General features: G+C 43.2%; 1 protein-coding gene across 5 annotated transcripts in view, besides 7 other annotated features; it reads right to left on the bottom strand.

Annotated features, from left to right (window-relative positions):
- KDM3B (lysine demethylase 3B) overlaps positions 1-23,953 on the bottom strand; it is an 84,343-nt gene extending 60,390 nt beyond the window's left edge. For 2 of the 5 annotated variants that reach the window (NM_016604.4, XM_005272018.5), the window contains exons 1-3: positions 23,651-23,953; positions 3,797-3,964; positions 1,432-1,545 (exon numbers count right to left, since the gene is read on the bottom strand). In NM_016604.4, the coding sequence (NP_057688.3) occupies positions 1,432-1,545; positions 3,797-3,964; positions 23,651-23,842 (474 nt within the window). In that variant the 5' untranslated portion in view covers positions 23,843-23,953. Of the gene's footprint in view, positions 1-1,431; positions 1,546-3,796; positions 3,965-6,595; positions 6,683-21,206; positions 23,492-23,650 lie in introns of those variants that run through there. The other 3 variants (XM_047417313.1, XM_011543489.3, XM_011543488.3) reach the window with 3 other exon arrangements.
- Positions 4,862-5,362: an enhancer, noted in NCBI's record as "H3K4me1 hESC enhancer chr5:137706965-137707465 (GRCh37/hg19 assembly coordinates)". NCBI's record gives its function as "activates a minimal SCP1, AML or CMV promoter by ChIP-STARR-seq in primed H9 embryonic stem cells {active_cell/tissue: H9 hESC(primed)}" and the evidence as "EXISTENCE:reporter gene assay evidence [ECO:0000049][PMID:30033119]".
- Positions 5,363-5,863: an enhancer, noted in NCBI's record as "H3K4me1 hESC enhancer chr5:137706464-137706964 (GRCh37/hg19 assembly coordinates)". NCBI's record gives its function as "activates a minimal SCP1, AML or CMV promoter by ChIP-STARR-seq in primed H9 embryonic stem cells {active_cell/tissue: H9 hESC(primed)}" and the evidence as "EXISTENCE:reporter gene assay evidence [ECO:0000049][PMID:30033119]".
- Positions 9,653-9,702: an enhancer, noted in NCBI's record as "active region_23202". NCBI's record gives its function as "activates an Ori minimal core promoter by ATAC-STARR-seq in GM12878 lymphoblastoid cells {active_cell/tissue: GM12878}" and the evidence as "EXISTENCE:reporter gene assay evidence [ECO:0000049][PMID:35858748]".
- Positions 23,014-23,113: an enhancer, noted in NCBI's record as "active region_23201". NCBI's record gives its function as "activates an Ori minimal core promoter by ATAC-STARR-seq in GM12878 lymphoblastoid cells {active_cell/tissue: GM12878}" and the evidence as "EXISTENCE:reporter gene assay evidence [ECO:0000049][PMID:35858748]".
- Positions 23,364-23,833: a silencer, noted in NCBI's record as "silent region_16394". NCBI's record gives its function as "represses an Ori minimal core promoter by ATAC-STARR-seq in GM12878 lymphoblastoid cells {active_cell/tissue: GM12878}" and the evidence as "EXISTENCE:reporter gene assay evidence [ECO:0000049][PMID:35858748]".
- Positions 23,914-24,153: a silencer, noted in NCBI's record as "silent region_16393". NCBI's record gives its function as "represses an Ori minimal core promoter by ATAC-STARR-seq in GM12878 lymphoblastoid cells {active_cell/tissue: GM12878}" and the evidence as "EXISTENCE:reporter gene assay evidence [ECO:0000049][PMID:35858748]".
- Positions 24,174-24,253: a silencer, noted in NCBI's record as "silent region_16392". NCBI's record gives its function as "represses an Ori minimal core promoter by ATAC-STARR-seq in GM12878 lymphoblastoid cells {active_cell/tissue: GM12878}" and the evidence as "EXISTENCE:reporter gene assay evidence [ECO:0000049][PMID:35858748]".

The raw sequence follows: 25,889 nt of genomic DNA, 5'->3' as shown, positions 1-25,889 counted from the left end.
CTGCCTCCCAGGTTCACGCCATTCTCCTGCCTCAGCCTCCCGAGTAGCTGGGACTACAGGCGTCCACCACGACACCCAGCTAATTTTTTTGTATTTTAGTAGAGATGGGGTTTCACTGTTTTAGCCAGGATGGTCTCGATCCCCTGACCTCATGATCCGCCCGTCTCGGCCTCCCAAAGTGCTGAGATTACAGGCGTGAGCCACCGCGCCTGGCCGAAGCCACCTCTTCTGAAGGGACTCAGAATTGTGTTCTTAAATCTTGGGCGGTTTTAAGGTAGGGTGGGGCTGTGTAGAAGAAAGAAGCCTCAGCCACCAAAAGTACTTTGCAAGGGAGCAGAAAAACTTTAAAATGCACAGGGAGGTTGGGTATGGTGGCTCACGCCTGTAATCCCAGCACTTTGGGAGGGCAAAGCAGGTGGATCACTTGAGGCCAGGAGTTTGAGACCAGCCTGGGCAACATGGCAAAACCCCGTCTCTACTAAGACTACAAAGATTAGCCAGATGTGATAGCATGTGCCTTTGATCCCAAGCTAGTTGGGAGGCTGAGGCACAAGAATCACTTGAAACCGGGAGGTGGACGTTGCAGTGAGGCGAGATGGAGCCACTGCACGCCAGCCAAGGTGGCTTTCTCAAAATAAATAAATAAATAAAAATTTAAAAATGCCAGGCGTGGTTGATCACACCTGTAATCCCAGCACTTTGGGAGGCCAAGGCAGGTGGATCGCCTGAAGTCAGGAGTTCGAGACTAGCCTGACCAACATGGTGAAACCCCATCTCTACTAATAATACAAAAATTATCTGGGTGTGGTGGCACATGCCTGTAATCCCAGCTACTTGGGAGGCTGAGGCAGGAGAATTGCTTGAATCCAGGAGGCAGAGGTTTCAGTGAGCCAAGATCACACCATTGCACTCCAGCCTGGGCAACAAGAGCAAAACTCTCTGTCTCAAAAAAATAAAATAGGCTGGGCGTGGTGGCTCACGCCTGTAATCCCAGCACTTTGGGAGGCCGAGGCGGGCGGATCACGAGGTCAGGAGATCAAGACCATCCTGGCTAACATGGTGAAACCCCATCTCTACCAAAAATACAAAAAAATAAGCCGGGCTTTGTGGCAGGCGCCTGTAGTCCCAGCTACTCGGGAGGCTGAGGCAGGAGAATGGAGTGAACCGGGGAGGCGGAGGTTGCAGTGAGTTGAGATCGCACCACTGCACTCCAGCTTGGGGGACATATCGAGACTCTGTCTCAAAAAAAAATAAATAAATAAATAAAATAAAATAAAATAAAAAAGGCACAGCATATTTATTGGAGGAAGTAATAAAAGAAATGCTAATATGTTCCCACCCAGTAAAAGGAGAAACACCTATGTTTATATCAACAAAGAAATTAGCAGCGAAAAAAATAATAGGCTCAAGACTAAAGCAAGTGTTAAATACCTGAAACAGATGCAACCCATTGGCATCTGACAGGAACCGAAGCTCTCGATCCAGAAGATATTCCACTGGAACCACAGAACCCAAACCCAGTTTATCTACAAGGGGAGTAAAAGTCTGTGAAGTACAATGACAAGAAATTGATTAGAACTTGGGAATAAAAAAACAGCAATTCAAACAAATCTCTAACTTCAAAGAAATAATTATTATATCTTTCATCCCAGTAAATACAGATAAGCTAAAGCATAAGTCCTTGGAAACATTCCCAACCTAGCATCTACCCCTCAAATAGTCATGGGAAGCTAACTAATGCAGAAAGTCAGCTCAATACTCTTATTGGCTAAAAAGGACAAGAGGAATCAGAAATTCTCCTAATTCTGCCTAGGGATCAGGCTAATCTTATTAGGCTTCAAGGGAGCTAAATTATAGTAAATTCCCAGAATAAAGAGTTATACTGTTATCATCTCAGAACTCTTGAAATCTTTGTGAAATTTATAAAATAATTAACAGCATAAATATGCATGGTTAATTCATATTACCATTTCATAAATAAATAGCCTATAAAAAAGTCATGAAGAGACCTCACATGCACTTATTATACAAGAGCTTCTCCTAAAAGTTCAACTGGAAAGTGGCCTTAAAAACAAATGAGAAGCCGGGCGCAGTGGCTACGCCTGTAATCCCAGCACTTTGGGAGGCCGAGGCGGGTGGATCACGAGGTCAGGAGATCGAGACCATCTTGGCTAATGCAGTGAAACCCTGTCTCTACTAAAAATACAAAAAATAAGCCGGGAGTGGTGGTGGGCGCCTGTAATCCCAGTTACTCGGGAGGCTGAGGCAGGAGAATTGCTTGAACCTGGGAGGCGGGGTGGTGAGCCGAGATCGAGCCATTGCACTCCAGCCTGAGCAACAAGAACGAAACTCCATCTTAACAACAACAACAACAAAAACAAATGAAACGGCTGGGCGTAGTGGCTCACCTGAGGTTAGGAGTTCAAGACCAGCCTGGACAACATGGTGAAACCCTGTCTCTACTAAAAATACAAAAATTAGCTGGGCATGGTGGCGCATGCCTGTAATCCCAGCTACATGGGAGGCTGAGGCAAGAGAATCGCTTGAACCTGGGAAGCAGAGGTTGCAGTGAGCCTAGATCGTGCCACTGCACTCCAGCCTGGGTGACAGGGTGAGACTTTGTCTCAAGAAAAAAACAAAAAACAAAAGACAAAAAGAAAAAGAAAAGACAGTTTAGTAAGTGATGACATATACCATCAATCAGTTAAAAAAATTGTTTTGAATATTATTTATTTAATTTGGTTAGCCACATGAAAATCAGGATTTTTTAGAAGTTACCATTTATACCTATACTTTGCTAATAAGACAGACAGAAACAAATGGATACTCTCACAATTAAATTTTATAACACACAGCCAGGCACAGTGGCTCATGCCTATAATCCCAGCACTTTGGGAGGCTGAAGCAGGTGGACTGCTTGAGACCAGGAGTTCAAGACCAGCCTAGGCAACATGATGAGCAACCATCCCTACAAAAAAATACAAAAATTAGGCTGGGTGCCGTGCTGTGCGTCTGTAGTCCCAGCTACTTGGGAGGCTGAGGTGGGAGGATGGCTTAAGCCTGGGGGTCAGAGGTTGCGGTGAGCTCTGATTGCACCGAGCTCTGATTGCACCACTGCATTCCAGCCTGAGTGACAGAGCCAGACCCTGTCTCAAAAAATAAAATAAATTTTATAATGCTATTTTCACTCCATAATTGAAAAAAAAACTTTAAAGGTTACAAATAATGTTTCAAAACCTTGCTCTGAGAAAAGACTAAAGGTGAAAAAATTCTTTTCATTGTTGTTTTTTTTGTTTTTGAGACAGGGGTCTCACTCTGTCCCCCAGGCTGGATGCAGTGGCACAATCACGGCTCACTGTAGCCTCAACCTCCTGGGCTCAAGCCATCCTCCCACCTCAGCCCCACAAGTAGGTGGGACCACAGACATGTGCCACCAGACCTAGCTAATTTTTGTATTTTTTGTAGAGATGGGGTTTTGGCATGTTACCCAGGGTGATCTCAAACTCCTGAGCTTAAGGGATCTTCCTGCTTCAGCCTCCCAAAGTGCTGGGATTACAAGGCGTGAGCCACCGCGTCTGGCCAAAAAAATTCTTTCATATCAAATATCACCTAATATAAAACATTTTGGAGGACAAAGGAGAAAAGACTGCTCCTAATTTTTGCATTAGTAACTTCAGAATAAATGTACGTTAAGGACAAAGTATGTAGTTCTTACACATACTCTGTCCCTAACATGTCATAGTTATATTATAGGAGTAAAGCTCAGACATGTTCCCACCCAGTAAAAGCCACTCACCAGGGCTGGCCATTGTGCAATGGAGACTCGAATGCCCTGGAGAAGGACTGGGTCCTCACGGGGCGCCCATACAAGAGACCCTTCCAGCAGAAGCACGATAACTTCCTCAGCATGAACTTTTACCCAGGAGTGTTGCTTCCAGTTACAGCCATCAAATTCTACAAAGATCTGCAAGAGATAAAAAGCAGTTTGGAAGTCACACTTGGAAAAATCTCACACTATACTTATAAATGAACATAAACCCCACTGTTTTGAACAACTGACTAGGAATAATTCTAACTTGTGTTTAAGTTATTTTAATGGGTGTCAATAATAGCTGATCTTCAGAGCCAGGAAGCTGGTCTCAGCCACATTCTGAAGAGGAGGAACAGAGTTAAGGAGGCATGAACTATTCACAGTCATTCAGTAATTTTTAGTCATGTCCCTACTGAAATTTGCAACTCTTAGTTTCTAATTCGTATCTACACATACTAGCTGAGGGCTTACCATATATAAGGTACTATACTAGGTTCAGGAATACAGAAAGGAATCTGGCATACTTCTTGGTCTCAAAAAGCTCATAATCCAATAGGAAGACATTTTTAATACTTCTATTGAAATGACTGTGAACTTTTAATTATTTTTTGAATAGGTGATGTATGCATATGGCAAAAATTCAAAAAGATAAAATGCTGAAAAACATTGCCCTCCCATTCCTGCGTGTGGATTCTATTGACTGATTGATCGATTGAGACAGGGTCTCACTCTGTCGCCCAAGCTGGAGTGAAATGGCGTGATCTCAGCTCACTGCAACCTCCACATCCTGGGCTCAAAAGATCCTCCTGCCTCAGTCTCCCAAGTAGCTGGAACTACTAGCATGTGCCACCATGCCCGGCTTATTTTTTGTAGAGACGCAGTTTCACCATGTTGCCCAGGCTGGCCTTGAACTCCTGAACAAGGGATCTGTACACCTCAGACTCACAAAGTCTGGGATTGCAGGCATGAGCCACCGTGCCCAGCCTTTTTTAAAATTTAAAATTAAATTAAAATTAATTATTTCGGTAGAGATAGGGTCTTGCTGTGTTACCCAGGCCAGTCTTGAACTTCTGGGCTCAAGTGATCCTCCTACCCTGACCTCCCAAAGTGTTGGGATTACAGGTATGAGCCACCACACCCAGCTGCATGTGGATTCTTAAGTGCAACAGTCAGCAGTAATCTCACATCTGTTAGCAGACACTTGCTGTAGTCACAACAATGCTTTCTTCTTCCCTGAACAGATACTCCACTTCTTGAAATATACTTAAGTAGGCACTGTATTTATACAGCTCTGAAAGCAGATTACATTAAATGAAGCTACATTTTTCTAATAAATATTATGCTTAGATTTGACTTTTTTTTTTTTTTTTTTGAGACAGGGTCTCACTTTGTTGCCCAAACTGAGTGTTGTGGCACAATCATGGCTCACTACAGCCTCGACTTCCTAGGCTCAAGCAATTCTCCCTCAGCCTCCTGGGTAGCTGAGACTACAGGCACACACTACCATGTCCAGGTAATTTTTGATTATTTGTAGAGACAGGGTCTCACTATGTTGCCCAGGCTGGTCTCAAACTCCTGGAGCCAAGCAATCTTCCTGCCTCAGCCTCACAAAGTGCTGGGATTACAGGCGTGAGCTACCCTGGCTGGCCCCAGCTTTGACTTTCTATATAAATTCTGACTTCTGAAGATGAGTGGACACAGCATCAAAAGCTACATATGCGGCCAGGCACGGGGGCTCATGCCTGCCATCCCAGAACTTTGGGAGGCCGAGGCGGGTGGATCACAAGGTCAGGAGTTCACGACCAACTTGGCCAAGATGGTGAAACCCTGTCTCTACTAAAAATACAAAAATTAGCTGGGTATGATGGTGGGCACCTATAATTCCAGCTACTCAGGAGGCTGAGGCAGATGAATCACTTGAACCCAGGAGGCGGAGGTTGCAGTGAGCTGAGATCGTGCCACTGCACTCCAGCCTGGGCAACAAGAGCAAAACTCTGTCTCGGAAAAAAAAAAAAACAAACTCACATGAAACTTCTTAAGGCAACACTAAGTAATGCAGGACAGTATTAGAATCCCCACACATGTGACTCCCAACTGGCAACTGTGGAGTTACCAGGAGGATCTGTAAGTACTAGGGGCACCAGGCATTTCCTGTAGAGTGAATGCCAGGTCTTGCAGATGTATGTGCTATGATTTTTCAAATACATGTAGATGATGTAATTAATAAAATTCAAATCCATTAAAAACTTAATAAAATTTTATGTGTATTTTACCACAGTGGAAAAAATATGAAGGAAAATATTACTGAATTCACAATGGCTTTTTTTTTGTTTGTATACATGTTCTCAAGTAACCAACATAAAAATTATAATGATATGAAAATTCAGGAAATTTATACTTGGAAAGTATGGAACCATAGCTCAGTAGCCTAGCTATCGGTTTAATCTCTTCACAGGCAACAAATACTTGTGAACTGCATTGCTAAAAAGTTATCCCAGAAGTTAAATTCATTATAAAGTTCTAGCTCTATTATCTGTAATACTCCAACAAAGAAATTAGCAATGAGAAAAGTAAGCTTCATTTCTACTTAATAAAAAGATGGAGATGCAAGGCTCAGAGAGAAGCATGATTTTTACTAAGAAAAAGGACAGAACACTGAACTGTACTATATTTAATATATAAATAGGCTCATTCATACATACATGTTGTAGGGGAATAAGACATAGCCCCTGCCTTCAAGTAACTTACAAGCAACTGGAAAGAGAGAGATATATTCAAACTTACATTTAAGTGCAGACTCCGGCACCAAGAAAGGCAGCATAACGTACAAAGCTTGGAGCTCATGTTCCAGGAGGCCTGGATTAGTGTCTCAGTTCCACTCTCTTGCAAAACTTAGACAACTTACTTTTCCTTCCTCAAATCTTAGTTTCCTCTTGTGTGATATGACACATCTTTCTTACCTCATGGACTGGTTGTGAAAATTAAATAAAGGAACAGATTCTAAGCACTTTGGTTGATTATAAAGCACTATTTGGGCAATAGTATGTCACAGGATAAACAGAAATAGGGTAAAATAAGGTATGGTGGGTATTCAGAGGCATAAGATCACTTCAGATGTGCAGAGGAACTGATAGAGGCTGAGGACAACAAAAGCCCCAGTTAAGCTCTGGGATGGTCAGGACCTATTTAACACACTGTCGGAAGGAAGCAGTAGCCAATGAGGCTAAAAACGCTAGGAGTAGATGTGGAAGATCTTGAACACTTGGATAAAAGATTGGGGCTTCATCCAGCTGTCAATGGGAGGTGTGGGTGTGTGCGTGCAACTATCATTAAAAGGTTTTTTGTGTGTGTATACGGTGGGGGAGTAGTAGGGAGTGTTCTTACATGACCCAGAGTTGGGGGTAATAACATGAGGAAGGAAGTGACTTGTGCTTATGAGAATCCAAGAGCCCTATCACAAAGCTTGATGACTGGCTGAATGTAGGAGTACGGGAGAATTAAAAAATGACTTCAATTTTGAACCAGAGAAGAGAAGTGCTACCATCACAAAGATGAACTGATGTCAGGAGGATACAACGGCTGGAGGACAGACAAGACCTTGCAAACCATGAAAAGCAGTCTGGAATGTTCAATGCCCAGACTGGATCTGACCCTGAGTGACACAGTACTCTACCAGGTGTCCTCAGAAAACCAGAGGTTGAGGTTCCATGGTAACCTAGGTGCCATGGTGTATGGCTAGGTGCCATGATGTATAGTTCTAAACTGCCAACCACTTTAAAAATCAACATAGGAATCATAACATTCTAAGTTATAGCAACACACAAATACAAGAACAACACTAAAATAAGTCACTGGGCTAAAGCTGTAATGATTTTTATTCTTTGTACATAAGAACTTGAATATTTAAAAAGTTAATATTCAAGAATTCAATACTATTATCGCATACCTAAAAACATTAGAAAAAGCTAAAATATTTGGGAGTTACATTTTACCTAATTTAAGGGCAATTATCTCTTACCTTACTTGAGCAAAGGACATGGAATAAAGTGTTAAATCTGAAACAACCCTGTACTACACATTCTGGGATCAAATGACAGCTCCAATCTGATAATATGAATTTGTTTTGAGAGCAATATGGAATGTAGATATATGTAAATATGGACTATGGATATATGTAAACATATTCCCCCAAGAGTGAAGCTTATTTCTGGCCCAGGACTGTACTTCGCTTCCTGGCTACAAAAATGAAAGAGTTAGAGCATACAAAGTAAAGAATCATTTCAAGTGGGACGCTGTGGCCCACACCTGTAATCCCAGCACTGTGGGAGGCTGAGGCGGGAGGATCACTTGAGCCCAGCAGTTCAAGAGTTCAAAACCAGCCCTGGCAACATAGCAAGATCCTGTCTCTACAAAAAAAATAGAAAAAAAAAACCAGGCATGGTGGGGTACATCTGTAGTCCCCACTACTCAGTAGGCTGAGATGGGAGGACAGCTTGGGCCAAGGAGTTCAAGGCTGCAGTGAGCTACGATCATGCCCCTGTACTCCAGCCTGGGCAACAGAGTGAGACCCTGTCTCCAAAAAAAAAAAAAAGAAAGAAAGAAAAAGAAGAAGAACAACCATTTTAAATCTAAGTACATAGAACACATACCCTTAATGGTAGTGGCCAGGCCACAGGATACAAAGAAGGGATATAAACTAGCAAAAATAAGGGTAGTGATTGGATTGAGTCAGAGGTGACCAAGGGAGGTTGATAATCTTAGTAGGGGAGGACTAAAACAGTTAAACAGTTTGAGATTTTTTTTTTTTTCTTTTTGAGATGGAGTCTCACTCTGTTGCCCAGGCTGGAGTGCAGTGGTGCGATCTCGGCTCACTGCAACCTCCACCTCCCAGGTTCAAGTGATTCTCCTGCCTCAGCCTTCTGAGTAGCTGGGACTACAGGTGCCTGCCACCACGCCCAGCTAATTTTTGTATTTTTAGTAGAGACAGGGTTTCACCATGTTGGTCAGGCTGGTCTCGAACTCCTGACCTCGTGATCCACCTGCCTCGGCCTCCCAAAGCGCTGGGATTACAGGGGTGAGCCATCATGCCCCACTGAGATAATTTTTTAAAAGCCTGATTAATACAAACCATGATCAGCTAAGAAATTTTTTTAAAAAGTCTGATTAAATTTCTACTATCAGAGTAAAAGTAGCAAATGGTACAACACATGCTTCGATTAGGACCCAAGGATTCCAAGTAAAGTATTTTATTAGTTAAGAAAAGTTAGTGTTAAAACTCTTGCTTTCATTTCTCTTTGTGGTCTACATGTGATTTATATTCATTTTAGTGACATTTAAATAAGTTTTTTAAAAATAAAATATATTATCCTAAGTTTGACAAAATCAGATGGTAGTAATCTAAGTGATATGGGGCTTCATATTTGTCATGTAATCATCAGTTTGGATTCTGGCTGTTCTCAAGGCCATTCTTACTATAATTAATAACAGTATTCATTTATTCACACTCTTAACAAAAATGGAATGCCTCTTATAAGTGAAGCACTTGACAGGGCCAAGAATATCAAGTTAAATAAAGTAGCAACTTGACAGTAGGGACTCACACCCTAGATGAGCCCAACAGAGAGGTACAGAAATTATTACAGTGCGAAGTAATCAGGGTAATAATAAAGATCTGAATAGGCTATGTTAGATTAGACAAGTCATCTGCCTTGGGAAACCAGAACAGTTTCACAGAAGAGGTAGTAGTATACAAACTGGGTCTTAAAGGACAAGCTGCATCCTTCTGGCAGAAAACAGAAAGAAAGACTTTCCAGCAGGTACAAAGGCAGAGAAAAATAAACGCAGATCAAGTGTTCTGGGAGTAGTAGTAGGAGGAGGCTAGTAAGTAAGCTGTAAAGAGCTTTGACTGGCATATTAATGGTTGAAAAATTGAAACCTGTTGACAAAGATGTTGTTTGGCCAGGAGTGTTCTTTCGTTTGTTTATATTATGCATTTGAATATCTTTAGGCAGCGTGTGCACTCTCCAGCAGCTGCCAATGCCCACTATATCTTTTGGTCTGTCACCCAGCTGTTTCTCACAAGTCTAGTTCCTCCCTAGACCTATCTGAGTTTATGTTGCCTCTATAAGCCTTGAAGGAGCACTGACAGTTTTAAAGGTGGTGGGGAGACCTAGTAAACTATAGAAAGATAATGGGGGCCAGGCATGGTGGCTGATGCCTGTAATCCCCAACACTTTGGAAGGCTGAGGTGGGAGGATCACTTGAGCCTAGGAGTTTGAGACCATCCTGGGTAACATAGGTGAGACCTTGTCTCTACAAAAATAAAAAATTAGCTGGGCATAGTGGTGTGCACCTATAAGTCTCAGCTACTTGGGAGGCTGAGGTAGGAGGACTGCTTGAGCCCAGGAAGTCAGGGCTACAGTGAACTATGATCACGCCACTGCACTCCAGCCTGGACAACAGTGAGACCCTGTCTCAAAAAAGAAAGAAAGAAGGAAAGAAAAAGGAAAGACAATGGGGGGAAGTTCTCAAAACTCAGTTTAAATAGGGAATCAAAATGAAAATTATAAAGCATTTTATACTTAGGTGAATAACTAAAATACAACTTATACTATGGAATAAATAATAGGAGTTTTTAAAAATGAGATCTATCTAATAGACTAATGTGGAAAGATGACTGAGATATATTATGTGAGGGGAAAAAAGCAAGTTGCAGATTATTTGAGGGGAGGGGATTGTGAGTAGGAGGGTTGGGATGAGAGAGTGAACAGTATTTTAGCCTCATCAGTAGATGTTTCCTTTTTTAAAAAGATTTTATTTATTTATTTATTTGAGACAGTATCACTCTGTCACCCAGGCTAGAGTACAATGACGCGATCTAGGCTCACTGCAATCTCCGCTTCCCGGGTTCAAACGATTCTGTGCCGCAGCCTCTCGAGTAGCTGGGATTATAGGCAAGCACCACCACGCCCGGCTAATTTTTGTATTTTTAGTAGAGACGGGGTTTCACCATGTTGGCCAGGCTGGTCTTGAACTCTTGACCTCAAGTGATCCAGCCGCCTTGGCCTCCCAAAGTGCTGGGATTACAGGTGTAAACCACTGCCCCTGGACTAAAATAATGTATTTATAATTTTTTTTTTTTTAAAGAGGAAAGAATTACTTTTGGGGTCAGGTTGGAAGATATGGATGGAAGAAACTGGAAGCAGGGAGACCAATTATGAAGCAGTAATAACCCAGTTAAAAGACCTAAGCCAATAAGAATACTGTATAGGCCATGCGCCATGGCTCATGACCGTAATCCCAGCACTCTGGGAGGCCGAGGCAGGCAGATCACCTGAGGTCAGGAGTTTGAGACCAGCCTGGCCAACAGGGTGAAACCCCATCTCTACTAAAAATACAAAAATTAGCCAGGCGTGGTGGCAGGCACCCATAATCCCAGCTACTCAAGAGGCTGAGGCAGGAGAATCGCTTGAACCCCGGAGGCAGAGGTTGCAGTGAGTGATCACCCCATCGTACTCCAGGCTGGGAGACAAGAGCGAAACTTTGTCTCATAAAAAGAAAGAAAGAAAAAAAAGAATCCTGTATGAATGTAAAGTATATTTGAGAAATTAGAGATAAAAATAACAGGATATGGTGATGATTGTGAGATGGTAAAGGAAATCAAAGATAACTTTCCAAGGCTCCTAAATTTTCCAATTTTCCTACCTATACTCCAAACAAAATGTAAACTCTGTTAAAAATAATGTTACACAACTGTGGGATATCTTGTCAAGGTGGGCGAAGATGCATGAGTTGAATATCTCTGTTTTCAAATAAAAAATAATTTTCTCTTTACAGTTTCTTTGATTCTCAAGAGATAGCTTTCTACCAATTATCCCCAAAGTTTTCTACTTTCTAACATCCTGAATAAATTAAATGTGAAGTACATGGAACAAAGGAAATAACCTGAATAAAAACTCCAGCACATATAGTGCTTTCAGGGGTTGCAGAATGATAGATATGGATTTGCATCCCACCTCTCCCATTTCTTAACTGTGTAGCCTGGAGCAAGTCACTTCAGCCTCTTTGAGCCTCACTTCCTTTGCCTATAAATAGGGACAATAAAGACCTCAAAGGATTGCCTTAGGATTATATGAAATAAAGACTTTAAATGCGTAGCAGAATATGGGCTCCAGATAAATGCTTATTCCATAAGCAAACTCAGGTCAGAGTAAAAACTGGCATGACTTTTTTTTTTTTAATTGCTATATATCAAGAATCTTAAATATGTACATACTCAGTGTCTATCATACCACTCTGGACCATAATCCTAATAAATAACCCTAAACACTGAAAAGGTTTTATTCACAAAAATGCTCACCATGGCATTATAGATGAAGCCTAAAATCTGAAACAACTTTAATAGCCAACGAAAAGAGAAGAGTTAAATTACTCAGCCAAAAAAAATTACGTTCATAAGATTACATTCAAATTCCTTGCACAGCATTTATTATTATCTTTTGCGTTATAAAAGCAACACATGAATTACCTGTGGAAAATAGAGAAAAGCACCAAGAAAATTAAAATCACCCATAAAATGAATAATTTTTAGTAAAAAAGGAAAATAACAGGCTGGGTGCGCTGGCTTACAACCTGTAATCCCAGCACTCTGGGAGACTGAGGCAGGCAGATCACTTATGGTCAGGAGTTTGAGAACAACCTGGTCAACGTGGCAAAACACCATCTTTACTAAAAATACAAAAATTAGCCAGGCATGGTGGCGTGGCACCTGTAATCCCAGCTACTTGGGAGGCTGAGGAAGGAGAATGACTTGAAGTCGGGAGGCGGAGGTTGCAGTGAGCACAGATCGTGCCACTGCACTCTAGCCTAGGCGACAGAGTGAGTGAGACTCCATCTCGAAAAAAAAAAAAAAAGAAAAACTAAATAGAATAACTGCCACATTAAATGAAAAAGCAAAACTCAAAATTAAAAATGCAGTATGAGGCCAGGCGCAATGGCTCACGCCTGTAATCCCAGCACTTTGGGAGGCCAAAGCAGGCGGATCACCAGGTCAGGAGATCGAGGCCATCCTGGCTAACAAGGTGAAACCCCGTCTCTACTAAAAATACAAAAAATTATCCGGGTGTGGTGGCGGGAGCCTGTAATCCCAGCTACTCAGGAGGCTGAGGCAGGAGAATCACTTGAACCTGGGATGCGGAGGATGCAGTGAGCCGAGATCACACCACTGCACTCCAGACTGAGAGACAGAGCGAGACTCCGTCTCAAAAAAGAAAAAAAAATTATTAGAATAATTTCTACACTTTGTATAATAGGCATGTATTACTTTAGAATCAGAGAAAGAAAACACCAAATGCTTCAAATCTAAGAAAACAACCCAGATGCAAATCACAAAACTAAGGGCCAGTGTACCTTGGATTGGAGTCCCAAATGTGACTCCAATATCAAGATGAAAAAATTAACAGTGAGTCCGTATCAATAAAAACATGTAAAAGAAAAAATTTAAAGATTATAAAGACAACGGGGCCACGGAGTAGAAATTCCGTAATAAATCGGAAGTGAACATCAGCCTAATAGGGGCTTCAAAATGTTCTACTTTTTTTAGACAGAGTGGTCAGGGAATAGAAGAGAAAAAACAGAAAAATCCGTGTTTCCTGACCTCCATGAATTTACTATCTAGTAGAATAGATAAGCAAGTGTGGAGGATGGAAGACTTTCCCTCTACCTTCTGAGGGTTAGGTGATTGAAATAAACAGTCAGCAGTTTAAGGAAAGAAAAATAATACAAATTTGTTACATGTAAGGGGCATCACAACAAGGAAAAGTAAATACCCAGAACCCAGTGAGACTGAGAAGTTTTCTTATATTTCTATAGAAATTATAGAAATATGTTTTATATAATTATATAATTATCATATAAAATTATAGAAATAATTATTGGGGGGAGAGGGGAGGGATAGCATTAGGAGATATACCTAATGTAAATGAGTTAATGGGTGCAGCACACCAACATGGCACATGTATACATATGTAACAAACCTGCACGTTGTGCACATGTACCCTAAAATTTAAAGTATATAAAAAAGAAATAATTATATAATTATACTATAAAATTATAGAAAAATTATATAATAAAATTATAGAAATAATTATATAACAAAACCATAGAAATAATTATATTTCTATATTTCTTATAGGCAACTTAGGGGAGAGTAAACCACGTACACTATTCACTTAAGATATTTTGTGTGTGTGTGTGTGTGTGTGTGTGTGTGTGTGTATACACATATATGTATATATATATCCTGGGCTCAAGTGATCCTCCCTATAGGTGCACACCACTGCACCCGACTTAATGATTTTTGGGAAAAAAAAATCAATGGGCCCTCAGAAGAACAGGTGACAGCTAAGGCTGTCTTTCTGCATGTGATATAGACCTCCAGTCTCATCTCCTGTGATAGGAATTAATCTTCCCTGGTTCATAAGGTTAGCAGGGAAGGGATTCATGACAATAGAGTTCCTTCTTTTGTTTTTTTTTTCAGGCTGGAGTACAGTGGTGCAATCTTGGCTCACTGCAACCTCTGCCTCCCAGGTTCAAGCCATTCTTGTGCCTCAGCCTCCCGAGTAGCAGGGATTACGTGCGCCACCATGCCCGGCTAATTTTTGTATTTTTTAGTAGAGACAGGGTTTTGTCATGTCGGCCAGACTGGTCTCGAACTCCTGGCCTCAAGTGATCCGCCCACCTCAGCCTCCCAAAGTGCTGGGATTACAGGCGTGAGCCACAGCGCCCGGCCTAGAGTTCCTTTTGGAGGATGTGTCTTTAGGTAGATGAAGTAAGTTCAGAGACAGCCCTCCATCTGCTGCTCCCCAAGTGCCTTCAGTTTGAGATCCAATGCAGCATATTTTGGGGTGGCGTTTCCTGAACTTCTTCACAAGCTATACATCTTGCTACACATATCTATAACAAGAAAAACTACAATAAATATTCCAAAAAGTGGTATCCACAAAGTGCTAAAGGAACAAAGAATAAAAACAACATGCTGGGGAATCAGAAAGGCTTTATAGGGTTTGTAGCTCCTAGGATGCATGGGCCTGAAGGATGAGCAGGCTTTCTTTTCTCTGTATAGGATTTCAATGGATGACAGCATTAAAAGAAAAGTTTAAAGAAGGAACAAAGCAACGGAAGCCAGAAAATACTAGAAAAGTGAAGGATCACCAAAATCAAGGCTGCTTGCTTTAAACAGCCTTTTGGCAACACCCAATTTCCCTTGTCCAATTCTTTGCACATCAAGGACCCTTCTTATAGTAATTTGGTCTCTAGAGCAGAGCAGGAAGGGGCTCTATGCAGATCTCTGGATAGGTATACCTCCCACTGTAAATTAATAACCTTGCATGTGGATTTACAATTCAGTCTCCAGAGTTTGGTTAGAGAGAATCAGTCCCCTAGAGCCTGATTACCTCTGAAGTCATGAAAAAAGGAAAAAAAAAAAAAGGAGTTTCAGCCCTTAGAAAACTGAAGGAGGTCACACTATCTGAATCACTACTAATCAGGCAGGTTTTACCCACCTAGAGATCAAGAGCAAAAGATGATGCTTTCGCACCAGGGGCAGTAGGGATGGTACAGTGGAAAGGGCTTAAAAACCACCAACCTGTCAAAGGCAGTGGAAAACTGAGAAGCATCAACAGGTGTTGCATCCCCCAGGCCTTGTGGAAGCAAAGCCTATATAGAACCCACCCCAGCTGTTGCAAAGAAAATCACAATGGAAAATGCCATGTTTCTTACCCACCATTTTGAGTCTGCTGGTGGAAGGGGAACTAAATAAATAAACTACAAGTTGGAGAAGAGACCCAGGAAGCTGTGTATTTAAAAAAAAGGGAATGAACCCTTGGCAGGTGGGGAGTTAGTGAAGCAAGTCCCTTAGAAACAAATGGAAATTAATGGCCGGGCGTGGTGGCTCACGCCTGTAATCCCAGCACTTTGGGAGGCCAAGGCAGACAGATCACTTGCGGTCAGGAGTTCGAGACCAGCCTGGCCAACATGGTAAAACCCTGTCTCTATTAAAACTACAAAAATTAGCCAGGTGTGGTGGCAGGCACCTGTAATCCGAGTTACTTGCCTGTAATCCCAGCTACTCAAGAGGCTGAGGCAGGAGAATCACTTGAACCCGGGAGGTGGAGGTTGCAGCAAGCCGACAATGTGCCACTGCACTCCAGCCTGGGTGAAAGTGAGACTCCGTCTCAAAAAAAAAAAAAAAAAAAGAAATAGAACTATTAAAATTCACACACACACACACACACACACACACACAATCTTTTTTTAAAAAATCAACTATACAAAGTGCTTGAGTGTCTGAAAAACTCAACCATGGCTCAGTGTTTCAAAAACAGACCTGATGCTGTAAGGGGAGAGTTAAGATGATGAGTGTGCTTAGACGGGCTCACAATTAAACAGTATATAGTCTTAATGTCAAAAAGTACAATGTCATTTTTATTTAAAGTTCTCTAACCATACACAGAATCACAAAAACATATTCTATTTACATTAATAAATAGAGCATAAGTATCAAGGTATCACTCAGAGTTTCAACTTTTGGAATTGTAAGTAATGAAAGGACACAAACATTTTTAAAACCACAAACTCCCATTTCAACTAGGGCTGAAATTCTATGTTTGACCATAGGTAGCGAATTGTACACTGGAAATACGGTAAATATAGTACTATCCTGAACCTGACTATAATTATTACATTATTTAGAAACAAAATAGAGAGGTATTTTAGAGTCTACCTACCCCACCCTGAGACAGAGGAAAGGTTCGGTGGGGAGGTGTAAAAACAGAAGGCAGATACACTTTCACTCCTCCTGGAAGACTCTCAGATAGAAGAAACATAGTACTAGCCTAGACATTGCTACAATTATTACATTATCTCTAATCAAAGGAAAGGAGTATTTTAGAATCCGTCTTTCCTTGAAAGAGAGATGAAAGATTAAGGGATAAAAAAAAATAGGGCGGATATGCTTTCACTTCTCTGGTAACTTCTGGATACATGAGATAACTATGATACACATTCAAAACCAAGTGATACTACATGTACAGCATCATTTAATTACACCTACAGAAAGAAAAGAATGGTTTACCTAAAAAAATTAGTGTTGCCACAACTGGTCACTCAGCAGAAAACAAATTAGGTCCCTCATCTCACTTGCCAATTACAAAAATATTCCAGGCCAAGTGCAGTGGCTCATGCCTGTAATCCAAGCACTTTGGGAGGCCGAGCTGAGTGGATCACTTAAGGCCAGGGGTTTGAAACCAGCCTGGGCAAAACTGTGAGACCCAATCTCTTAAAAAAAAAAAAAAAAAAAAAAAGGTGGGGGGGGCACGGTGGCTCACACCTGTAATCCCAGCACTTTGGGAGGCTGAGATAGGCAGATCAGCTGAGGTCAGGAGTTCAAGACCAGCCTGGACAACATGGCGAAACCCTGTCTCTACTAAAAATACAAACATTAGCCGGGCATGGTGGCACACGCCTGTAATCACAACTACGCAGGAGACTAAGCCAGGAGAATCACTTGAACTCTGGAGGTGGAGGTTGCAGTGAGCCAAGACCGCACCACTGCACTCCAGCCTGGCTGACACAGTAAGACTGTGTCTAAAAAAAAAAAATAAATAAATACACCATGGAATACTATGCAGCCATAAAAAATGATGAGTTCATGTCCTTTGTAGGGACATGGATGAAATTGGAAATCATCATTCTCAGTAAACTATCGCAAGAACAAAAAAACAAACACCGCATATTCTCACTCATAGGTGGGAATTGAACAATGAGAACACATGGACACAGGAAGGGGAACATCACACTCTGAAGACTGTTGTGGGGTAGGGGGAGGGGGGAGGGATAGCTTTAGGAGATATACCTAATGCTAAATGACGAGTTAATGGGTGCAGCACACCAGCATGGCACATGTATACACGTGTAACTAACCTGCACATTGTGCACATATACCCTAAAACTTAAAGTATAATAATAATAAAAAAATAAAAATAAAAATAAATAAATAAATAAATAAAAAGCTGAGAATCATGTTGTGCACCTGTAGTCCCAGCTAATCAGGAAGCTGAGGCAGGAGGACCAACTGAGCCCAGGAATTTGAGGCTGCAGTGAGCTATGACTGCACCACTGTACTCCAGCCTGGATGACAGATAAAACCACTCAAAAAAAAAAAGGCTGGGTGCGGTGGCTCATGACTGTAATCCCAGCAGTTTGGGAGGCCAAGGCGGGTGGATCACCTGAAGTCAGGGGTTCAAGACCAGCCTGGCCAACATGGCGAAACCCCGTCTCTACTAATAAATAAAAAAAAATTAGCTGGGTGTGGTGGTGCACGCCTGTAATCTCAGCTACTGGGACTGGAGGCAGGAGAATCACTTGAATCTGGGAGAGAGAGGTTGCAGTGAGCTGAGATCGCGCCACTGCACTCCAGCCTGGGCAACAGAACAAGACTCCGTCTCAAAAAAAAAAAAAAAAGAAAGAAAGAAAGAAAAAAAATTCCCGCCGAGCGCGGTGGTTCAGGCCTGTAATCCCAGCACTTGGAAGGCCGAGGCAGGCAGATCACCTAAGGTCAGGAGTTCGAGATCAGCCTGGCCAACATGGTGAAACCCCATCTCTACTAAAATTACATGGTGGTGGACGCCTGTAATCCCAACTACTTGCGAGGCTGAGGCAGGAGAATCGCTTGAACCCAGGAGGCAGAGGTTGCAGTGAGCCGAGATCACACCATTACACTCCAGCCTGGGCGACAAGAGTGAAACTCTGTCTCTAAATAAATAAATAAATAAATAATTCCATGCCAGGCACGGTGGCTCACACCTGTAATCCCAGCACTTTGGGAGGCCGAGGTGGGTGGATCACCTGAGGTCAGGAGTTCCAGACCAGCCTGGCCAACATGGCGAAACCTAATCTCATGCATGCCTGTAGTCCCAGCTACTTGGGAGGCTGAGGCAGAAGAATTGGTTGAACCTAGGAAGCAGAGGTTGCAGTGAGCCAATATCGCGCCACTGCACTCCAGCCTGGGCAAGAGTGAGACTCCGTCTCAAAAAAAATAAATAAATAAAAATAAAAAAATAAATTCCAGATGTACCAAAAATCTAAAGGTAAAAATAAACAAAAATGTTGGCTGGGCATGGTGGCTCACGCCTGTAATCCCAACACTTTGGGAGGCCAAGTCAGGCAGATTGCTTGACTGGAGTTCAAGACCTGCCTGGGCAACATGGCAAAACCTATCTCTATACAAAATACAAACATTTGCCAGACGTGGTAGTGTGCATCTGTGGTTCCAGCTACTTGGGAGGCTGAGGCGGAAGGATCACCTGAGCCCAGGGAGGTCGAAGCTGCAGTGTGTTGTGACTGTGTCATTGCACTCCAGCTTGGGTGACAGAGTGAGACCCTGTCTCAAAAAAAAAAAAAATGTTTTTTAAAGTATATTTATATAGGTTCAAGATGGGGATTCCTTCCCAGTCAAGTAATCCTAAACTATTAAGAAAAGTCAGGCCAGGCACAGTGGCTCATGTTTGGAATCTCAGCACTTTGGGAGGCTGAGGCAGGCAACTGCTTGAGCCCAGGAGTTCCAGACCAGCCTGGGCAACATGGCGAAACCCCATCTCTACAACAAATACAAAAACTAGCCAGGCCCGGTGGCGCATGCCTGTAGTCCCTGGGAGGATTGCTTGAGCCCAGCAGTGAGCTGTAATTATGCCCCTGCACTCCAGCCCGGGAGACAGAGCAAGACTCTGTCTCAAAAACAAAACAAACAAAAAGAGGCCCGATAATTCTGATAACATAAAATTCTTATTTTTCTGTATAGCAAAGCAACCCATAAAAAAAGTCAAGAGGCCAGGCCCGGTGGCTCACGCCTGTAATCCCAGCACTTTGGGAGGTCGCGGTGGGCACAGATCACGAGGTCAGGAGATCGAGACCATCCTGGCCAATATGGTGAAACCCCATCTCTACTAAAAATACAAAAAATTACCTGGGCGTGGTGGCACACGCCTGTAGTCCCAACTACTCGGGAGGCTGAGGCAGGAGAATCGCTTGAACCCGGGAGGCAGAGGTTGCAGTGAGCTGAGATGGAGCCACTGCACTCCAGCCTGGGTGACACAGCGAGACTGTGTCTCAAAAAAAAAAAAAAAAAAAAAAAAGTCAAGAGACAAGTGAAACAAAATACAACCCACTACGCAGGTGAAGGAGTTAATATCCATGCACAGAACTTGCAGAGAGTGGTAAGACAACTCCTATTTTTCTCAAATGAGCAAAAGATATCCATAAGTAACAAATAAAAGAAATGAAAAAGCCAGTACACATGGAAAAAAAGGACAAATAGTCATGAAAATTATGGATATTGTTTTTCACCCATCAGATTGGCAAAAATGAGAAAGACTGATGATACCAGTGAAGGCAAGGGTAAAGAGAAACAAGCACCCTGAGTACTGTTGGTGGGAGTAGGAAATGCTATACACCTACTGGAAAATAACCTGGCATTATGTAATAAAATAAAAAATACATATACTTCTTAACCGAACCATTTCAACCCTGGATTGCTAAACTACAGAAATAAAACCTGGATTACATAAAAATATGTATACAAGTATATTAATGACAGCATTGTCTATACTGCCAAAAAAACTTTAGATAACCTGAATGTCCATTAACAGGAGGAATAACTGAATAAATTATGGTACATCCATTCTATGGAATATAAGGTAGTTACCAAAAACGATGAGTAAAATCTGTAAGTATTGATCCCCATGGTATACTGTCAAATGAAAGAAAAAAAAGGCAGGGTGCAAATATTGTGCAGTAGGACACCATTTGCTAAAAAAAGAGGGAACTCTTTGTATACGGTTGAATGTTTTCATGTTTTTTGTACTAGCATTAAGAAAGATGAGCAAAGAGATTGCTGGTTTTTCTTGTGTAAACCTTTGTTTGACATTTTGCAAATTACAAGCTTTGCTTTTATAACCAAAAAAAGGAAAATCCATGGGTTTCTTTTTTTGGTCTGTTTTATCTACAATACCCATATACGTGACGGTCCCAAGGTCTCTGCAACTTACATGAGCCAATAATGATTTAGGAACACAAAGAGGACACCAGATTAGGAAAGAAAAGCCAGAGATAAATGCATACAACCCATAAACTAATTCTAAAAAAATAAAAGGCCCATTTTAAAACACAAATAAAATTACTATTCCACTAGAAAGTGGGGGAAAAGCTGTTTTCATGCCTTGGCTAAACATCTGAGTAATTTGTCAGCATGGCTTCTGCTGGTGAAGATGTCCACCTATGAGAACCTTATCAACAAAACTCTCAATCAACAGGATCCTGACTCCTTTTTTTCACATCTCACCTTAAGGTAGCACTTGGCTTTGTTACTGTTTTCCAAAAAAGGTTTCATTTAATGGATCAGTACTGTATTTTATAGGATATCTGAATCAAAAAGTATTTAGAAAGAGATGTATTCGTGGAATCTAAAATTAAGAAGTGTGTTTTCAATCACTTCAGAAACTCATTCATCCAACCCTCAATTACTCATCCTTAAAAGGGGGCGCCCTGCTAGGCATTACTCAAAACCAAGCATGCCTGAAAACATCTTAAACATAACTGAATGAAAATCTGCCCAATCACAGGCCAGCTGCTTGCAAACTCCACCCTTGAGTACGGGAAGAACACTTTTGATTGGAAGACAGTTGTGTTTACTACCGTGTGTGGTGCAAATTGGAAAGGTCCACATGCCTACGGTCCAAAGGAAATCTCTCTTAATGAGAAAAAAAGAAAACGGCCCATTCTCATCCTACACTGGTCATTGTCATTAATAGAACCTCAACAAAATACCAATTCTTGAACAATTTTGCAAGCTGGTGAAAAAATCTAAAGGCTCTGAGTTTTGGTCTGGCTGTTTTCTCATCTATGTCCCTGGATATACATGTAAGACAAGCATAAATGTATTCTCAAAATACAAACCTGCCTTTGCTTCTACATTCACACAGCCCTATGCAAGACCTCAACACAGCTGTAATGTTCTTTGCTTTAATTTCCAAGAATCACTGCAACTTTTTACTTGGTTTGAGAACCCAGTTCCGTGGGATCAGTGGTAAAATTATTCAGTATTTAGCTTAGTGGGTGTCCAGCAAGGAAGTGAGCTCCAAAATCCTCTGCCCTTAGGGAGCACAGCAAACGACAAAGTGAATGGGGAGCCATTTCAGGTGCAGAGCTCATTAGCAATTCATCTGATGGAGGAAACGAGACGACCACTGCAAGAACCAGAAAAAAATCCCAATGAATAGCTAGGGCAAAGTAGGCCTTCGGTCAAAGTATGCATATAATAGTGGATCTTAAGTATGTTTTGCCTCCAAGGTGGTAGAATGAATCTGAAATGGACACTTCTTTTCCCATCCCAGCCATCTTTTAAAGAAAGCGCAGAGGAATAGAGATCCAAATCCCAGTCTTAATCATCATTCCATCCCCTTAAATTTTTAGTATCTTTTTGCAAATTTGCCCCACTGAGGCCTTATAAATGTCCTAGTAACGTTTCTTATACAGCATGAAGAAAAATCAAAGCAAATGAACCCAAGTAGCAGAAGCAAAGCCTAAGCCATCCACAAAAAAAATCCATAAAGCTTGTATATTAGTGAAAAAGGACAGTCTAACACCGTTGATCAATAGGAAGAAAAATGAACATCGGAAGCCTACAACATTACTTCCAAATCTCACAAACTGCGTTCCCGTTTATATCTGCAAAAGCAAGTTCATCAAGAAAATTTACTTTCTGCTTGCTGATCTATTACATTCCAAAAGACCACCCCCTGCCCCAACACGCACACACACCATTTTTCATAGCCTTATCTCACCAGAGAAGCTAGGGCCCCTATCAAAATGAGGAAATAAAGTGGCTTGCCAAAACTCAAACACTATATTTTACCGCCACATTAACGAGAATAACACATCATGATCCCGAATGCTAGTTAAGTTGTATGACTGAACAACTTTAATCACAAAACACACCAAGGCATTCAAAAAGGGCCAAGCCCAAACACAAAGTTTCAAAACAAAACCTCTCCCAAGGTTGGGGGAGTAGCTGAGCTGGGAGCAAAAAGCACTACCCAGCAGCCCCGTTCGGCCACTAAGAAAGATCTCAAACTTAACAAAAACAGCCACAACTGCAGCTCCTGTCACCCAGAAGCGTTAAGGAAAGGAGAGGAGAGCTCGAGACAGTGCCGAGAGCTGGCCTTTCTGGAGACCGCCAGGCCGAGCCCAGCTCAGATGAGGAAGTAACTGCCAGATAAAAAAGCCCCGACCAGCTCCAACTGCAGCCTCCGTGCCTCCCATAACTGCCCACATTCCCGCCCCACTTGGGGCTCTGGGAGAAAAGGAACAGGGCGCAGGTCTCCTGGGAGAGGCTGGGGACCACAGGTCCGCGTCTTCGAGAGGGCAGCGGCAACACTGGCCGAACTCTGAGGCTCCCGGGAGCTCAAGATTCGAGAGCCTGCTCCGAAGGCGTGTTGGGGGGAACGCCGAGAAAAGGGTCGCCCAGGAGGCGGGGCCTGCTGGCTGCAAGCAGCAGCTCCGGACGCCCTGGCCGCCCCCCGGGGGAAACCGGGGCGCACACCCCGACGCGGAAGCCATGCCGGCAAGCGCTCGGGGTGCGGAGGTGCCGGCGGGGGGCGCTAAGGAGACCCGGGGGCACGGAAATGGGTCACCCCCATCCCACCGCCCCCTCACAAAGGCCCCCGGGGAGGCCGCCCGCAGGCCCCGCAGCCCCGGCCTCGAGTGCCCGACTCGGCCGCCACTCACCGCTAGGTCCTGGGGCACCGCCCCGCTCATGGCCCGCACCGTGCCGGCCCGCCAGGCTCGAGTGCGCAGCGCAGGCCCCGGATCTCCGCTCGCCGCTGCCGCCGCGGGAGCCGAGGCCGAGGCTGAGGCCGCAGTGTCCGCGAACAGCAGCAGCAGCCGCTTGCCCACCGGGGAGGCCGCCGCGTCCGCCATCGCCGGGGCCGGCCTGACCCGCGCTCCCGCCCGCCGCCTCCCACCACCTCCGCCGCCAAGCGCCCGATCCGCCCGCAAGGCCTCCCTCCGCACCACCCGCGGCCGCCGTTCCCCCCCACCCCCCCCAACAGCCACCACCAACCACCGGCGCAGCGCAGCGCCCCCCGTGGCCGGGAGCGGAGCCGCAGCCTGGGCCCCGCACAGCGCCCCCCGCGCTCTGGAGCGGGGCGACAGCTCCTGGCCCCTCGCAGCGCTCCGCCCCAATCTCCCCGGGGCCTGCAGTGCCCCCTGCGGTCTGGAGGGGAATTGCAGGTCCGGCCGGGGTAGGGAAGTGGGCGGGTCCTTCAGCTTCCCCATGGCATCATCCCTGGTCTCAATCTTCCTTCAGGGAGTCGTATATATGAGAGGGCTTTAGCTTGCTCTCCTCGGATACCAAAGACATTTACGGGGTAAGGGGGTGAGGGGCAAGGTACCTAGAGAGTGGATGTTTTGAGCTATTTAGTGTCTCCAATACCCCCATTGATTTCCTATCCTGAAAATATGAGCTCCTACCTGCTGTCTTGTAGGAAATGTTCTCCCCATTGGTCCATGAGACACAATGTCTTCCTTCTCAATGGCCCATAACAGCACCATCCCATTCTATACTGCCAGCACTTCTTAGGTTCCTTTCCAATTGGCCAATGTATTACTTCCATTGGATGTATAATGCCACTCTTTCCACTGACTGAAGGCCAACGTGCCCCCCAACATCTTGGTGTTTTTCCTAAAACCGACCTAACTTCTTCCCCTTCCTAGTCTGCCAATGTTATTAAGTCTACGTGTTTCTCCATTCAACTCTTAGGGGAACTGGAAATAGACCAACAGTAAAGGGGTTCTCTTAGTAGCACTCCATCTTACCATGGAATTAGTGGGGCTGGGGGCAAAGAAAATTCTGTAACTCTTATCTGAATGCATTTAATACAGGTGTGGGAGACTGATAGCTCCTGATTAGAAAAGGAGCCTGCAGAGAAAGTGAGATGCTGAGATTTTTGGCTAGATTGTTACCCACAATAAGCAACAGGAAATTGCCTCAATCATTTAAAGCTGGCAATATCAGGGACTAGCACATTCCATGGTCTCATGGATGCAGAGACTGAGTATACACAAAATGGATACAAAAGATAAAGGGTATAGTAATAACCCATGACTGTTGTTCTAAAAGTGACTTTTTGATTTTCCCTACAGACAGGAAATAGTGGTAGCTGGTTCTTTCTCCAAGGCTTCTGTGCCTACCCCAGCTATCTCCTGTCCATAACCTTGTCTACACCCTTGACCTACTTTTCTTGTAACAAAGGCTTGGGGAGAGGGGTAACCAACTATTGACTTTATACTTTTACTAAAGTATAAAACATATAGGAAAATCATTCTAGAACCAACCCTGTGGAGCACCAAGGAAACATTCCTCCCTCCACTTCTTTTTAACTTCCATCTCCCACAGCCAACCTGAGGCCTGACTCAGAATGTTTTTCTGGGCTGAGAGCCACCTCTTAAAGCACATGGCCCATAAGCTGTAGTTGGTAGGAGGGGAACAAGGGTGAATCCATACAAGATCTATCTGCCTTGCAATTTTTCTATCAAAATTATCTGCTGGGATTTTCTCCCATACAGAGATTTAACTACTGCCCCAATGTCCAAGGCTAGTTTCTCACAGCAGAGAGACAGAAATGTACCTAAGTTCACGGATGGGAAAGGCAAAAGGGAAATGCATTCAACAAATGTGACCAGCACTTTTCATGTGCCAGGAACTTCCCAAAGTGTTGGGGACACAATATTGAATAAAACAAAACTCTTGCCCTCATGGAGTTTACGTTCTTTCCTATATTAACAAGACTTCAGGAATGAAAAATAAAATCACACTTGGCCTCACAGAAAATAGCAGAAAAATCCAACAAAAATAAACTCAAAAGAAAAAAAGGGGGAAACAAAGTCATTTTAGATGTTCAAACTTTACCCCTGCTCAAGCAGTAGGTGAAATGAAACATCAGTTTTAAAGAAAAAAAACCCTGTA

This window comes from Homo sapiens, chromosome 5 (assembly GCF_000001405.40).
Source record: "Homo sapiens chromosome 5, GRCh38.p14 Primary Assembly".
NCBI classification, from domain to species: Eukaryota; Metazoa; Chordata; class Mammalia; order Primates; family Hominidae; genus Homo; species Homo sapiens.
Note: the sequence above shows the minus strand (reverse complement) of the source record. Positions and strands in the feature narration are given on the sequence as shown.